The sequence below is a fragment of the Homo sapiens genome, chromosome 16 (assembly GCF_000001405.40).
Source record: "Homo sapiens chromosome 16, GRCh38.p14 Primary Assembly".
NCBI lineage: Eukaryota > Metazoa > Chordata > Mammalia > Primates > Hominidae > Homo > Homo sapiens.
Genome location: NC_000016.10, coordinates 74,327,678 through 74,342,514, shown reverse-complemented (window position 1 = coordinate 74,342,514; position 14,837 = coordinate 74,327,678). Strand labels below are relative to the sequence as shown.

The window sequence follows — 14,837 nt, the reverse complement described above, 5'->3', positions numbered from 1 at the left end:
CAATGTGTCTGGCTGGCTTCTATGTTAAATGCCTCCTAGGGAATCTTATCATCTGGGGTAAAATCCTCATAGTAGTCTTTTGAGAGCAGTACACAGACCCATGTTCGTTGCTTCCAGAAAAGTTAAGGAAAGTGCCCAAAACTATTCAGCTGGTCTATGGCAATTTAGGATCTTTTGATTCTGTTAGTTCTCGATTTGTAGAATATTAATTTTCTCAAATCTCACACCTGAGCCCCAACAAGTGCCCTCTGTCTATATAGGTACCTTGCCGAATGGATGGTACATGGTTATCCCTCAGAAAACGTTTGGGAATTGGACCTGAAACGTTTTGGAGCCCTCCAGAGCAGCCGCACCTTTCTGCGCCACCGGGTCATGGAAGTCATGCGTAAGTGAAGCTTTATCGCAGTTGCTCCTAGTTGCAGGTATCTTCTCGGTGGCCCGTGTTGTCATTCAGAAGGAGCAAAGTTTTCCTCAGTTCTTTAACAAGTGCTTTGAGTTGGACATTTGATTTGACTGTTTCAGGCCTGAGTTAAGGGGCTTTATGCTCCTCATGATATATATGTAACATTTTCTTTAGTGCATCGGACCTTTTTTCCTTCTGGGAACAAGAAAGTAGAATAGGAGTTACAGTTGGTACATAGCAGCTTCATAAATATTCTAAGCAATGCCTTCTTCCCGGTCTGCCTTGAGAGACCGTATGTCGAAGTGCGTGCTTTCTGCAGTCTGCCTTGAGAGACCCTGTGTCGAAGTGAATGCTTTCTCACTCCCACTTAGTTTTTGAGAAAATGCTTTCTCACTCCCCACTTAGTTTTTTCTTTCCAAGTCAGAGAATTTGCCAAGTTATTCTCAGAGCTTCAGGCTTCCGTGAGTGACTTTCACCATTAATCCACCCTACAGCAGCAAGATTGGGAGCCACTTCCCATATAAATACAAAACATACATTCCTGCTCTCACTCCCGTGTTCTCGCCCTGCTTCAACTTTGAAGGACTGGCCACTTCATCTTAATTTGTTATTCTACCTTGATCTCTGATTTATTTTCTAGGAAGCCCTTAGAAAGCTTTTGTATCAGGAATTGAACCAAACCACGTGGGTTCAAGTTGTAATTTCATTTTCCTGTACTGAGGAGCTGTTCTCAGACTTTGCCAAATGGTATCTAAATATTTTGGGCATACTTATGCTCAGGACTAAGTTTCTGTGTTGGCTCTGACCACCATTCTTGGTTACAAGTAAACTGTTAGTTTGGTAGTTGAACAACATTGTTGGTGAGGACTCTGGATGGCCTTTAATGCCTGAGTGCTCACTTTTGGCCTGGGAAGAGGATGTACATCCATGGAGATGAAGGACCTAACAGCAATATGTTTAACTGCTAAGGTTCTTTAATTTTAGCAAATATTTTGGTTAAAATGTTGAACTTGGCTGGGTGTGCTGGCTCATGTCTGTAATCCCAGCACTTTGGGACGCTGAGGGAGGTAGGTCACTTGAGGTCAGGAGTTTGAGACCAGCCTAGGCAACGTAGCGAAACCCTGTCTCTACTAAAACCAAAACCAAAAAATTAGCCATGCCTTAGTGGCACACACCTGAAGTCCCAGCTACTTGGGAGGCTGAGGTAGGCGAATCACCTGAGCTGGGGAAGTTGAGGCTGCAGTGAGCCATGATGGTGCCACTGTGTACTCCAGCCTGGGCAGTGGGACTGAGACCCTGTCTCAAAAAAATAAAATAAAAAAATCAAAGTTTTTTGTTTTAAAGTTGAACTATTATAAGCCTAAATTTCCCCACCCATAGTTACTTTGGAACCTGTACAAATCATAATTGAGCTTGAGCTTCTGCTTGGTGATATGACACTTTTGGTAGCCAATTCTCATGAAATAGAAGTGGCAGGCACATAGAAAATGGGGAAGGCGCCAGGCGCAGTGGCTCAAGCCTGTAATCCCAGCATGTTGGGAGGCTGAGGCAGGCGGATCACTTGAGGTCAGGAGGTCTGGCCTGACCAACATGGCGAAACCCTGTCTCTACTAAAAATACAAAAATTTAGCCACGTGGTGGTATGTGCCTGTGATCCCAGCTCCTTGGCAGGCTGAGGCAGGACAATCACTTGAACCCGGGAGACGGAGGTTGCAGTGAGCCAAGATCGCACCACTGCGCTCTAGCCTGGGTGATAGAGAGGGATTCCATCTCAACAAAAAATAAAAAAAAAAAATAGAAAAGAAAATGGGGAAGGGGAAGATAGAACCTAAAGTACCAGGAGATGGAGAGATTGTCACCATGCAGAGAACCCCACCTGGCTTCCTTCTCCTGTCTCCCAACCTCCCCAAGCCTTGATGTGCCTTTTGTTTGGGACGGTGTGAGATCAGGTCTTCTCTTTGCAAGGGACCACAGATCCCACTCTTCTGGCTTTTTTTACTTATTGCTGTTGAAGATTAGACATTAAGGGAAATGAAATTTTTTTTTTTTTCCGAGATAGTCTTGCTCTATTGCCCAGGCTGGAGTGCCGTGGCGTGATTTCGGCTCACTGCAACCTCTGCCTCCTGGGTTCAAGCAATTCTCCTGCCTCAGCCTCCCGTGTAGCTGGGATTACAGGTGCCTGCCACCATGCCTGGCTAATTTATGTATTTTTAGTAGAGACAGGGTTTCACCACATTGGTCAGGCTGATCTCGAACTCCTGACCTCGTGATCCGCCCACCTTGACCTCTCAAAGTGCTGGGTTTACAGACGTGAGCCACCACACCCAGCCTAAGAGAAATGAATTCTGACCCTAGCTTTGTTGTGTGAATAATGTCATTGGTACAATACAATGTAACTTCTCAGATTTCAGAGCCACCTAATCAAGCTACAATATGTACCCTTTCACTTCAGAAGTGAGTTAATTATCAGGGAGGAAATGTCTGTAACAGGTCTGAGATCCTAACACAGGCACAATGAAGAATCGAATGCCATTTTTTCACATTTTGTTACCACCTGTGTCCCACTTAGTAACCTTGTTCTCTGCTATGAAGCTTAGTAAGGTTTAGGACCCTGACCTTTCTGCCATCATTTCTACCTACTAATGTGGAATGCTGAATGTGAATACAGGCCGAGTCATGCCGTGACACGTAGCTCCAGGGAGGGACGATAGCAGCTTGGCAGGATTGTCTTTCCTTCTGGAGCATGCCTGATACACTGGGTAATTTTGAAAATTAGACTACATTAGCCTGGAAATTGGGCCGAGCAGAGTGGCTCACGCCTGTAATCCCAGCACTTCGGGAGGCCGGGGCGGGCAGATCACCTGAGGTCAGGAGTTTGAGACCAGCCTGACCAACATGGAGAAACCCTGTCTCTACTAAAAATACAAAAATCAGTGTGGCACGGTGGCACGTGCCTGTAATCCCAGCTACTCGGGAAGCTGAGGCAGGAGAATCGCTTAAACCCAGGAGGCGGAGGTTGCAGTAAGCCAAGATTGTGCCACTGCACTCCAGCCTGGACAACAAGAGCAAAACTCCGTCTTAAAAAAAAAAAAAAACAAACTACGTTAGCCTGGAAAGCTCTTTTGAATAGAAACAACTCCAGAGTCTAGTGGATATTGGCTACTCAGGTCTAGAATCTGTGTCTTGGGCTTTGATAGACTACTCGTGTCTTTTCTAGCTTTGATGTATGATCTGAAGGTTCCCCACTGGGACTTCCAGACCGGTAGGCAGTTACGCACCTCTCCTCTCTACGACCGGCTGGATGCACAGGGAGCCAGGTGGATGGAGAAACATGGATTTGAGAGGCCAAAGTACTTTGTTCCCCCTGACAAGGGTAAGAAGTCACATTCTCATTTTTGCTCCTTTTTTTTTTTGTCCTGGGAATTAATAAAACGTATTTTCAAATGCATAGGCTAGAATGTGTTCACAGAAGAAAAAGAACCACGTGGACTACACTAAACTCTACAGGGCCTTGTGATTTTTCCATTCCGTAGACCTCCTGGCATTGGAGCAGAGCAAGACTTTCTATAAGCCAGATTGGTTTGACATCGTGGAGTCTGAAGTCAAGTGCTGTAAGGAAGCTGTGTGTGTCATTGACATGTCCTCTTTCACAGAGTTTGAGATAACAGTAAGTATTTGGGAACCAAAGTAATAGATTAGGAAACTTTGCATATTTATTGAATGCCTTTTGTTTTTCATCTTCAAAACTGATTCCTGACTGGGTGCAGTGGGTCATGCCTGTATTCCCAGCACTTTGGGAGGCCAAGGGGGGCGTGGATCACCTGAAGTCAGGAGTTCCAGACCAGCCTGGCCAAGATGGTAAAACCCCGTTTCTACTAAAAATACAAAAATTAAGGCCAGGAGTGGTGGCTCATGCCTGTAATCCCAGCAGTTTGGGAGGCCGAGACGGGTAGATCACCTGAGATCAGGAGTTCAAGACCAGCCTGGCCAACATGGCGAAACCATCTCTACCAAAAATACAAAAAATTAACCAGGCATGGTGGCGGGCACTTGTAATCCCAGCTACTCGGGAGGCAGGAGAATCGCATGAACTCATGAGGTGGAGGTTGCAGTGAGCTGAGATTGCGCCACTGCACTCAGCCTGGGCAACAGAGTGAGACTCCATCTCAAAAAAAAAACAAAAACAAAAACAAAACACTGATTTCTTAAGAATTCTGGTATATTTTAGTGTTTCATCTGTATTGTGACATTTTTCTGAAATTTTAGCTCCTTGTTTCGGGTTTTTAATTTGCTAGAGAGGCCTGTTTATCATAAGAATCAATAGCTAGCATTCCCTGGAGCTTCTTGCAGTGGAGTAGGTCTGCAAGTGTTGTCACATGGGAATTGGCTGATTGAATTTTCTCAATGAGGTTCATTGCTGGTGGGGCCATGTGGCGCAGCCAGGTGCTCTCACTCTCACTCTCTCTGTTTCATTCCCTAACCCTGCAGACCACTGGGGATCAGGCATTAGAAGTTCTACAGTACCTCTTCTCCAATGACCTGGATGTGCCTGTGGGCCACATTGTGCATACTGGCATGCTCAACGAGGGTGGAGGGTATGAAAATGACTGCAGCATAGCACGACTGAACAAGCGCAGGTGAGATGAGCTGCCGTCCCGCTCTGCTTCCTCCAACATGTTGATTCCTTAGGGGTACTGTAGCAGAGGCTCTCAGGCGCTTCTCCACGAACCATAAATCCCAGGGACTAAGAATCATTACATGAAATCAAAGCCAGTTTATTAGCAGTCCTAAACAAAAGAAATCACCAGGAGGAAAAGAAAAAAAAGCCCACCAGATTATGTACCCTACTGGGAGAAGATGCCTTGTCTTTTTTTTTTTTTTTTTTTTTTTTTCTGAGACAGGGTCTCACTTTGTTACCCAGGCTGGAGTGCAGTGATGCAATCATGGATCCCTGCAGCCTCGACCTCCTGGGCTCAAGTGATCCTCCCACCTCAGCTTTCCAGGTAGCTGGGACCACAGGTACACGCCACCACACCCAGCCAGTTTTTGTATATTTTGTAGAGATAGGGTTTTGTCACATTGCCCAGGCTGATCTTGAACACCTGAGCTCAAGCAATCTGCCCACCTTGGCCTCCAAAGTGCTGGGATTACAGGCGTGAGCCACTGTGCCCAGCCGATGTCTTAACGTTAGTAAATCTGTATAATTTCTTGGCATTAACAGGAAGCCAGAATTTTGTTTTGTTGTTAGGTGGTGTATCCTAGAATGGTGCTACTGGCCTTCTGTGAAAGCTAAGAAATCATTTCCTAGTATTTGCCTCATTGCTTTGAAACCAAATAAGATTTGATTGCTTCCTGATCCTTTTGCTGCTACCTGGTTTTGATTATTTTGGGGTCTCACTTTTCAGTTTCTTCATGATCTCTCCAACCGACCAGCAGGTCCACTGTTGGGCCTGGCTTAAGAAACACATGCCGAAAGACAGCAACCTGCTCCTGGAGGACGTCACCTGGAAGTACACAGGTACGGGGGTTCGGGCTCTGCCACGTCGAAAAGGCCAGCAGATGCAGATGTGTCCACGTTTGCCTTCTTTACATTTGACTCTCAAAAATGAACATTAGAGTTAGCATAAAAGAGGCTCTCTGGTCATAGAAAATTGATCTCTAGGGGATGCGGTGGCTGACGCCTGTAATCCCAGCACTTTTGGAGGCCGAGGTGGGAGGATCACTACTAGGTCAGGAGTTCGAGACCAACCTGGACTATATGGTGAAACCCCGTCTCTACTAGAAATACAAAAATTAGCTGGGCGTGATGGCACACGCCTGTAATCCCAGCTACTTGGGAGGCTAAGGCAGGAGAATCACTTGGACCCGGGAGGCAGAGGTTGCAGTGAGCCCAGATCGCACCACTGCACTCCAGCCTAGGCGAGTGAGACTCCATCTCAAAAAAAAAAAGCAAAGAAAATTGAGGGCTGGACACAGTGGCTTACACCTGTAATCCCAGCACTTTGGGAGGCTGAGGCGGGCGGATCATGAGGTCAGGAGTTCGAGACCAGCCTGGCCAACATGGTGAAACCCCATCTCTACTAAAAATAAAAAAATTAGCTGGACATGGTGGTGCATGCCTGTAGTCCCAGCTACTCATGAGGCTGAAGCAGGAGAATTGCTTGAATCTGGGAGGCAGAGGTTGCAATGAGCCAAGATCATGCCATTGCACCTCCACCTCCCGGGTTCAAGCGATTCTTCTGCTTCAGCCTACCAAGTAGCTGGGATTACAGGCGGCCGCCACCACGCTGGGCTAATTTCTGTATTTTTAGTAGAGATGGGGTTTCACCATGTTGGCCAGGCTGGTCTTGAACTCTTGACCTCATGATCCACCTGCTTCGGCCTCCCAAAGTGCTGGGATTACAGGCATGAGCCACCACGCCCAGCCCCCGTGAGTACCTAATTTTTAAGGATGACTTGGTTCCCTGATTTTCTCAACCTCAGCAGTCTTGGCTTAACCCCTCCCACCTTCCCACCTAACTGATCTTGCCCCTTGGCCCCACCAGCGTTTGCTCTCCCAGGCTCTCATTCTCAATTCCTTGTAGTAGCAAATATGATATACGTCCTGCTCCTGGATTGGGATACTACAGAATGTTACTGAACAAAAGTCATGTTCTCGCTTCTCTTAGGATGGATGACATGTAATTAGCACAAGCTGATGTCACAAACACTGGTGTCCAGAATAATGCTTTCCTTATCTAGTAAGCATTAGGATATGTTTGAAGTGGATTTAGCTTCTCTGAATTTAAAGTCTGTATACTTTTTGGTTGGGCAGATCTCCACCGGGTACTGATTTGGGGTTGGGGCTTCTTCCATCACATAGCCTTGCTGGGAAAAGGAGGAGAACGGGAATTGTGTGGGGTGGTTATGGCCAGCCCTGCTGCGTTCAGCAGGCCCTGTTGGCAGAGGTGTATTCGCCAGAATCGGGGTGCTTAGCATCCATCCTTGGAGTGTCTAAGCAAAGGGACATATTCCTGGTCTCTGCACCCAGGCCTGGCTATAGCTGAGCAAGTCTGCAGTAGACCTTTCCCATTGGCTCAGCTGTTCAGAAGGAGAGCTGGACATCTCTTGTTCTTTTCCATTTAGCCCTCAATCTGATTGGCCCTCGAGCTGTGGATGTGCTGTCTGAGTTGTCCTATGCCCCTATGACTCCAGACCACTTCCCAAGCCTCTTTTGCAAGGTGAGTGCTGATAAAGTTCTGTTTCTTAAATGGGCAGAGAATGTGTCTTTCATAGCGGTGGCAGTTACATATTCTTACTATGGTGTTAACATCCACAAAGAGTGTCTTGGCTGGGTGAGGTGGCACATGCCTGTAATCCTAGCACTTTGGGAGGCCGAGGCAGGTGGATCACCCAAAGTCAGGAGTTTGAGACCAGCCTGGCCAACATGGTGAGACCCTGTCTCTGTTAAAAATACAAAAATTAGCTGGGTATGGTCTCACGCACCTATAATCCCAGCTACTTGGGAGGCTGAGGCACAGGAATCGCTTGAACTCTGGAGGCAGAGGTCGCAGTGAGCCGAGAACACGCCACTGCACTCCACCTGGGTGACAGAGTGAGACTCTGTCTCAAATAAAAGAGTGTGCTGGCCAGGTGCAGTGGCTCACGCCTATAATCCCAGCACTTTGGGATTACATCTTATATTTATAAATAAATATAAAAATACAAAAATTAGCCGGGTGTGGTGGCGCATGCCTGTGGTCCCAGCTACTCGGGAGGCTGAGGCAGGAGAATGACTTGAACCTGGGAGGCAGATGTTGCAGTGAGCCGAGATTGCGCCATTGCACTCCAGGCTGGCAACAGAGCAAGACTGTCTCAAAAAAAAAAAAAAAAAAATGTGCTGCCCTTCATTAGCAAAGAAGTGACTAAGTATATTTATTTATTTATTTATTTATTTATTTATTTTGAGACAGAGTTTCACTCTTGTTGCACAGGCTGGCGTGCAATGGTGCGATCTCGGCTCACTGCAACCTCCACTTCCCGGGTTCAGGCGATTCTCCTGTTTCAGCCTCCCGAGTAGCTGGGATTACAAGCGCCCGCCACCATGCCCAGCTAACTTTTTGTATTTTTAGTAGAGACAGGGTTTCACCATGTTTGCCAGGCTGGTCTTGAACTCCTGACCTCAGGTGAACCACCCACCTCAGCCTCCCAAAGTGCTGGGATTACAGGTGTGAGCCACTGCGCCCGGCCTTATTTGTTTATTTTTTACACTCCAAGCTTGCTTTATTTAATAAGCATTAGGATATCTTTGAAGTGGATTTAGCTTCTCTAAATGTAAAGTCTTTATGCTTTTTGGTTTCTGTAGCACTGGATTAAAATTTGAAGTTACAGGATTATGACACACAAAAATGCCTTTCGAAGTTAGGTCCCTTCTCTCCATGCAGTGTGGCCTCTTTTCTGTACACAGAGTAACTTCTGTGTCTGTGGCATCTTCAGGGAAGAAATGGCGTAGGTGAATCTCTGAACTTCCTACATAATTTTCTTTCCTATAAGTGGCAACCACAGCTGAGTGAAACAAACTGTAACCGAATGAAAGCAATGACAACGGAATCCTCCCCAGGAAGCTGCTGATTAGAGAGGGCCAAACGGACAGACATCTTGGCCACCTGTAACGAGCAACTTCCAGGCGGTTACTGATGGAGACTCTTTGAAGTTCACCCAAAGTGGGATCCACCTACAAATTGTTTCACAGTTTTCCTTCTTCTCCGAGGCAAAGTGAAAGCAACAGAAAACTTTCCACTGTTAGCCATCAGTGGACCCCTCCCAGCGTTTGCTCTGCTGCTTGGAGGAGTGACCCATACGCTCAACACCTGGCGAGTGCTGCATCCTGTCAGCCTCCTGTGGAAGCGGTTCACTTCGGTGCTGTCCAGGACTTTCCACTTTCCTTTATAGGAACAGTGATTGCGTCAGTGGCCGCTGTTAGGGAACTGAGCTGCTATGTAACATGTTCTGAGAATCAGAAGCCCATCTTTGACCCCAGGATAGCAGATTAATTATGTCTGTGGGCATCGGGCATCATCTTTTGTATGGCAGGTGGCCAGGGTTTGTCTGCCGATTCCCCCAGAGAAGACACTCGCCTTGTCCTCATTGTGCCTGCTACCCTCGACTAACATAAGGACCTGGCAAAGAGGAATATTTTGTGCTTGTCAAGGACTTTCCTCCACTCTCTACCATCAGCTTGGCTAAAACTCCTGAGATGGTAACAGTAGCAAGCAGAGATGTCACATAGGCAGTGCTCCATTCTCGGTGCCTCAGGACCTGGAAGTTAACCACTTTTGGGATGAAATTCTTGCCTTGACGTCTGTCTCCCTCAACAGTAAACAGAGGGTGCAGCACTAATGAAAGGTTTCCCCAGGCGTCCCTCCCTTGACAAGCAATGTGAGTGCCCAGGCTGACTGCTGCCTTTGTCCCTGCAGGAGATGAGCGTGGGCTATGCAAATGGGATCCGGGTGATGAGCATGACGCACACAGGAGAGCCAGGATTCATGCTCTACATCCCCATAGAGGTGAGAGGGCCCCCTCCCCTCCCCTCCCCTCCCCTCCCCCACTGTGGGGTGCCAGTGCTCCCAGCAGCGCGTTCACCAGCACTGGCAGGTTTGGAGAGCTGTATCTGATTGGGCCTTGGGAACTGAGGTAGGCTGCATTGAAGAGATTTGACCATTTTTAACTAAGTTATATGAGTTTTTTTGAATAGGTGATACATTTAAAAAGTATTTGGCACCATCTCATCTGTTCTCACCAACTGTCACCAATAATATTAGTATTACTTTTATATGTCATTTCAGATTTGTATGCATATTGCAAGCAAATTCATAATGAATTTTTTTTTTTTGAGACAGGGTCTCACTCTTTTGCCCAGGGTGGAGTGCAGTGGCATGACCGTGGCTCACTGCAGCCTCGACCTCTTGGGCTCAAGCCACCCTCCCACCTCCGCCTCCCGAGTAGCTGGGACTGTAGGCATGTGCCACCATGCCTGGCTAATTTTTGTATTTTTTTGTAGAGACAGGTTTTGCCATGTCGCTCAGGCTGGTCTCAAACTCCTGACCTCAGGTGATACACCCACCTTGTCCTCCCAAAGTGCTGGGATTATAGGTGTGAGCCACCATACCCAGCCAAGCCCCCTTTTTAAAAACAGAAATGGAAGCATACTGCTATTCTTCATCCTGTTTTTTTTTTCACTTCACAATTTTTTTTTTAATTGAGACAGAGTCTCACTCTGTCACCTAGGGTGGAGTGTAGTGGCATAATCTCAGTTCACTGCAACCTTCGCCTCCCAGGTTCAAGTGATTGTCCTGCTTCAGCCTCCCAAGTAGCTGGGATTACAGGTGCACGCCACCACACCTGGCTAATTTTTGTATTTTTAGTACAGATGGGGCTTCACCATGTTGTCCACGCTTGTCTCCAACTCCTGACCTCAAGTGGTCCACACACCTCAGCCTCCCAAAGTGCTGGGATTACAGGCATGAGCCACTGTGCCTGGCCCCAGGTAATTTTTGAGTAGTTTTTTTTTTTTTTTTTAAGTATTTGTACTTTTGAGAATCTCATAGGTTAACATGTTTACAACAATCTCTTCATCTTGTCTTCTAAATCAGCCCCTTCTATTCCAGTTCCAGGAATAGTCAACCACGCCAGAAACCTGGGACTCACCTGGTCTCCCCACTCACCTCTCCCTCCACCTCCCGCTCATTACCCAGCCTCACAGGGCTGTCTCCTCAGTGCCTCTCCTCTGTTCGGACCTCACTGTCCCCACCACTGCTGCTGTGGCAGAGAGGGTTGTCAGCCCTGACTTCGAGAACAATCTCTTACTGATTTTCCTGCTTCTCATGTCATCCCCCCTCCCTCTGCAGGGTTGTCTTTTTAAAACGGGAGGTCACTTTACTCACTGCCTTGAAACCCTCAAGGGACTCCCCTTTGTCGTGAGACCAAGCTCTCAGTCCATAGCCTGGCCAGCCAGGGTCTCCAGGGTGTGGCAGGCCACGCTGCCCCAGGGCTGCGGCCTGCACTGCGTGTGATGTGGGTCCTGCAGCCGAGTGCGTGCTCCCCATCCACAGCTGGATCTCACCTCGAATCCTGCTTTCCAGTCACACTGAGGTTTCCCACTCCCATATTTGCTCACTAAAATGCATCCTGGCAGCCCTCCCCTGTGCTTGTGGAAAGTCGCGAATTGAGGATCACATGAACCCCCACTCCCCCAAGTTGTCCTGACAGAGACCTCCTGTCTTTCATTTGATTGATTGATTGAGACGGAGTTTCGTTCTTCTTGCTTAGGCTGCTGGAGTGCAGTGGCAAGATCTCGGCTCACCACAACCTCCGCCTCCCAGGTTCAAGCAATTCTGCCTCAGCCTCCTGAGTAGCTGGGATAACAGGCATGCGCCACCGTGCCTGGCTAATTTTGTATTTTTAGTAGAGACGAGGTTTCACTATGGTGGTCATTGGTCAGGCTGGTCTCGAACTCCTGACCTCAGGTGATCCACCCACCTCAGCCTCCCAAAGTGCTGGGATTACAGGCGTGAGCCACGGCGCCTGGCCCCTCCTGTGTTTCAAAAGCTCAGCCCAAGACCACCATCATCCCACAGTGGAGCCTTTCCTTCCCCAAGAGAATGGCCCCTTTGGGGTTCTCACACACCCGTTTCTGATGTGTCTTTATTTGGTTATCTGCCCTGCTCGTTCTGTAAGTCCCTCTGAGAAAGACTCGAATTCTCCCAAACTCCAACACCTCACGTGGTGTTTGGTGTTTAACAGGTGATTAAATGAATGGGCAAAAAGTGGAGGGCAAAATCTTTAAAATGTCTTTTAAGATTTAAGGATTTTAGGCCAGGTGCGGTGGCTCACACCTGTAATCCCAGCACTTTGGAATGCCGAGGCAGGTGGATCACCTGAGGTTGGGAATTTGAGACCAGCCTGACCAACATGGAGAAACCTTGTCTCTACTAAAAATACAAAATTAGGCGTGATAGCGCATGCCTATAATCCCAGCTTCGAGGGAGGCTGAGGCAGGACAATCGCTTGAACTCGGGAGGTGGAGGTTGCAGTGAGCCGAGATCATGCCATTGCACTCCAGCCTGGGCAACAAGAGTGAAACTCTGTCTCAAAAAGAAAAAAAGATTTAAGGATTTTAAATGTTTGATTTTTTTTTTCTTTTTGAGATAGAGTCTTGCTTTGTCGCCAGGCTGGAGTGTAGTGGCGTGATCTCGGCTCACTGCAACCTCTGACTCCCTGGTTCAAGGGATTCTCCCACCTCAGCCTCCCGAGTAGCTGGGATTACAGGCACACGCCACCACGCCCAGCTAATTTTTTGTATTTTTAGTAGATACGGGGTTTCACCATGTTGGCCAGGATGGTCTCGATCTCCTGACCTTATGATCTGCCCACCTCAGCCTCCCAAAGTGCTGGGATTACAGGCGTGAGCCACCGCGCCTGGCCTGAAAATTTTTAAATGATTGTTTGCCGACTTTACAACAGGATGCTGTTGTTGTTCACAGGCCAGTAGGTGGCGCTGTGGCACGTGATCTGAGCCTCCTGGATTCACACAACTGTTCATGTGGAGAACCCAGTGCCGGGGACCCATTAGCACCCCAGTCAGGCTATGCGTCTCCCTCCCAAGGGTGCTCACCTGGTGTGGCCTCCATGGCACAGGGGGAGTGAGATGAGGCTCCTTTAGTACACCCTCCCTTGAGAAGAGCGACGTGTGCTTACCCTCCAGTGGCTTGTTCTCATGAAAGGCTCCACAGTTAGGGACCTTCAGATGCTTAGATCTGGGGTGTCACCTGACTCAAGCCCCTCAGAATCCCAGATTGTTGTGGTGGGTCAAGGGCATGGGGCTTTGGGTTTACTGGCCTGGGTCTGAATGCCAGCATTGCCTCTTCCTTGGTGTATACGACCTTGGGTGGTTACCTTTCCTAGGCCTCTGTTTACTTGTTTTAAAATGGACAGTGATGCCTACTTTATAGGGTTGTTATGAAACTCAAGTAATGAATATAAAATACTTGACCCAGACTGGCATGGTGGTTCACGCCTGTAATCCCAACACTGGGAGGCCAAGGTGGGAGGATCGCTTGAGCCCAGGAGTTCAAGACCAGCCTGGGCAACTTAGGGAGACCCCCGTCTCTACCAAAAATAAAAAAATTAGCCAGGTATAGTGGTGCGTGCCTGTAGTCCCAGCTACCCGGGAGGCAGAGGTGAAAGGATCGCTTCAGCCCAGAAGTTCAAGACTGCAATGAGCCGTGATCGTGCCACCGCACTCCAGCCTGGGTGACAGATCAAGGCCCTGTCTCAAAAAATAAATTAACAGATCAGGCGCAGTAGCTCACACCTGTAATCCCAGCACTTTGGGAGGCTGAGGCAGGAGGATCGCTTGAGCCCAGGAGTTCAAGACAAGCCTGGGCAACTTAGGGAGACCCCGTCTCTACCAAAAATCAAAAAATTAGCCAGGTAGAGTGGTACGTGCCTATAGTCCCAGTTACCCGGGAGGCTGAGGTGAAAGGATCGCTTCAGCCCAGAAGTTCAAGACTGCAATGAGCCATGATTGCGCCACTGCACTCCAGCCTGCGTGACAGATCAAGGCCCTGTCTCAAAAAATAATTAATTAAATACTTGACCCATTGCACGATCTTTCCATGCACGACAGCTGCTCTTCTATTATTCTTCCAGGATGAACTGCACAGCCTGCCCCCTTGGGTTTCCAGGTTGTGGGAGATGAGCAAAACTGAATGACCTCAGTAGGCCAAGAGCAAAGGATGTGGGTCCAGACCTGGTGGCCAGTTGCTTGTGACAGGAGCTGGGCTGGAGTCCCCAAGTGCCACTAGTGCTGACATCTTTTAACTGTGTTCATCCTCAAGGTTCATCCATGGGTCAGAATTTACTTTTTAAGGCTGAAGAATATTCTGTTGTATCTTTTTTTCTTCTCCATTCATCCCTTGGTGGACATTTGTGTTACTTCCATGTTTTAGCCATTGTGGATAGTGCTGCTGTGAACACAGATGGACAAATACCCCCGAGACCTTGCTTTCAGTTCTTTTGGGGATATACTCAGAAGTGAAATTTCTAGTCTGGGTGCATTGGCTCACGCCTCTAATCCCACCACTTTAGGAGGCCGAGGCGGGTGGATACCTGGGGCCAGGAGTTCGAGACCAGCCTGGCCAACATGGTGAAACCCCATCACTACTAAACATACAAAAATTAGCCGGGTGTGATGGCAAGTGCTTGTAATCCCAGCTACTCAGGAGGCTGAGGCAGGAGAATCGCTTTGAAACCGGAAGGCAGAGGAGCTAAGATCGTGCCACTCCACTCCAGCCTGAGCAACAAGAGTGAAACTCTGTCTCAAAAAAAAAAAAAGAAATTTCTGGATCATATGGTAATTCTTTTTTTTTTTTCTTTTTTTAAGACGGAGTCTCAC

At 47.9% G+C, this 14,837-nt stretch overlaps 1 pseudogene across 1 annotated transcript in view; it reads left to right on the top strand.

The window, feature by feature from the left end:
* PDPR2P (pyruvate dehydrogenase phosphatase regulatory subunit 2, pseudogene) overlaps positions 1-10,109 on the top strand; it is a 35,850-nt pseudogene extending 25,741 nt beyond the window's left edge. The window contains exons 9-15 of the transcript NR_026950.1: positions 261-385; positions 3,621-3,776; positions 3,937-4,070; positions 4,892-5,040; positions 5,809-5,921; positions 7,529-7,623; positions 9,859-10,109. The product of NR_026950.1 is annotated as a pyruvate dehydrogenase phosphatase regulatory subunit 2, pseudogene (transcript). The remainder of the gene's footprint in view (positions 1-260; positions 386-3,620; positions 3,777-3,936; positions 4,071-4,891; positions 5,041-5,808; positions 5,922-7,528; positions 7,624-9,858) is intronic.
* Positions 10,110-14,837: the final 4,728 nt, after the last annotated feature.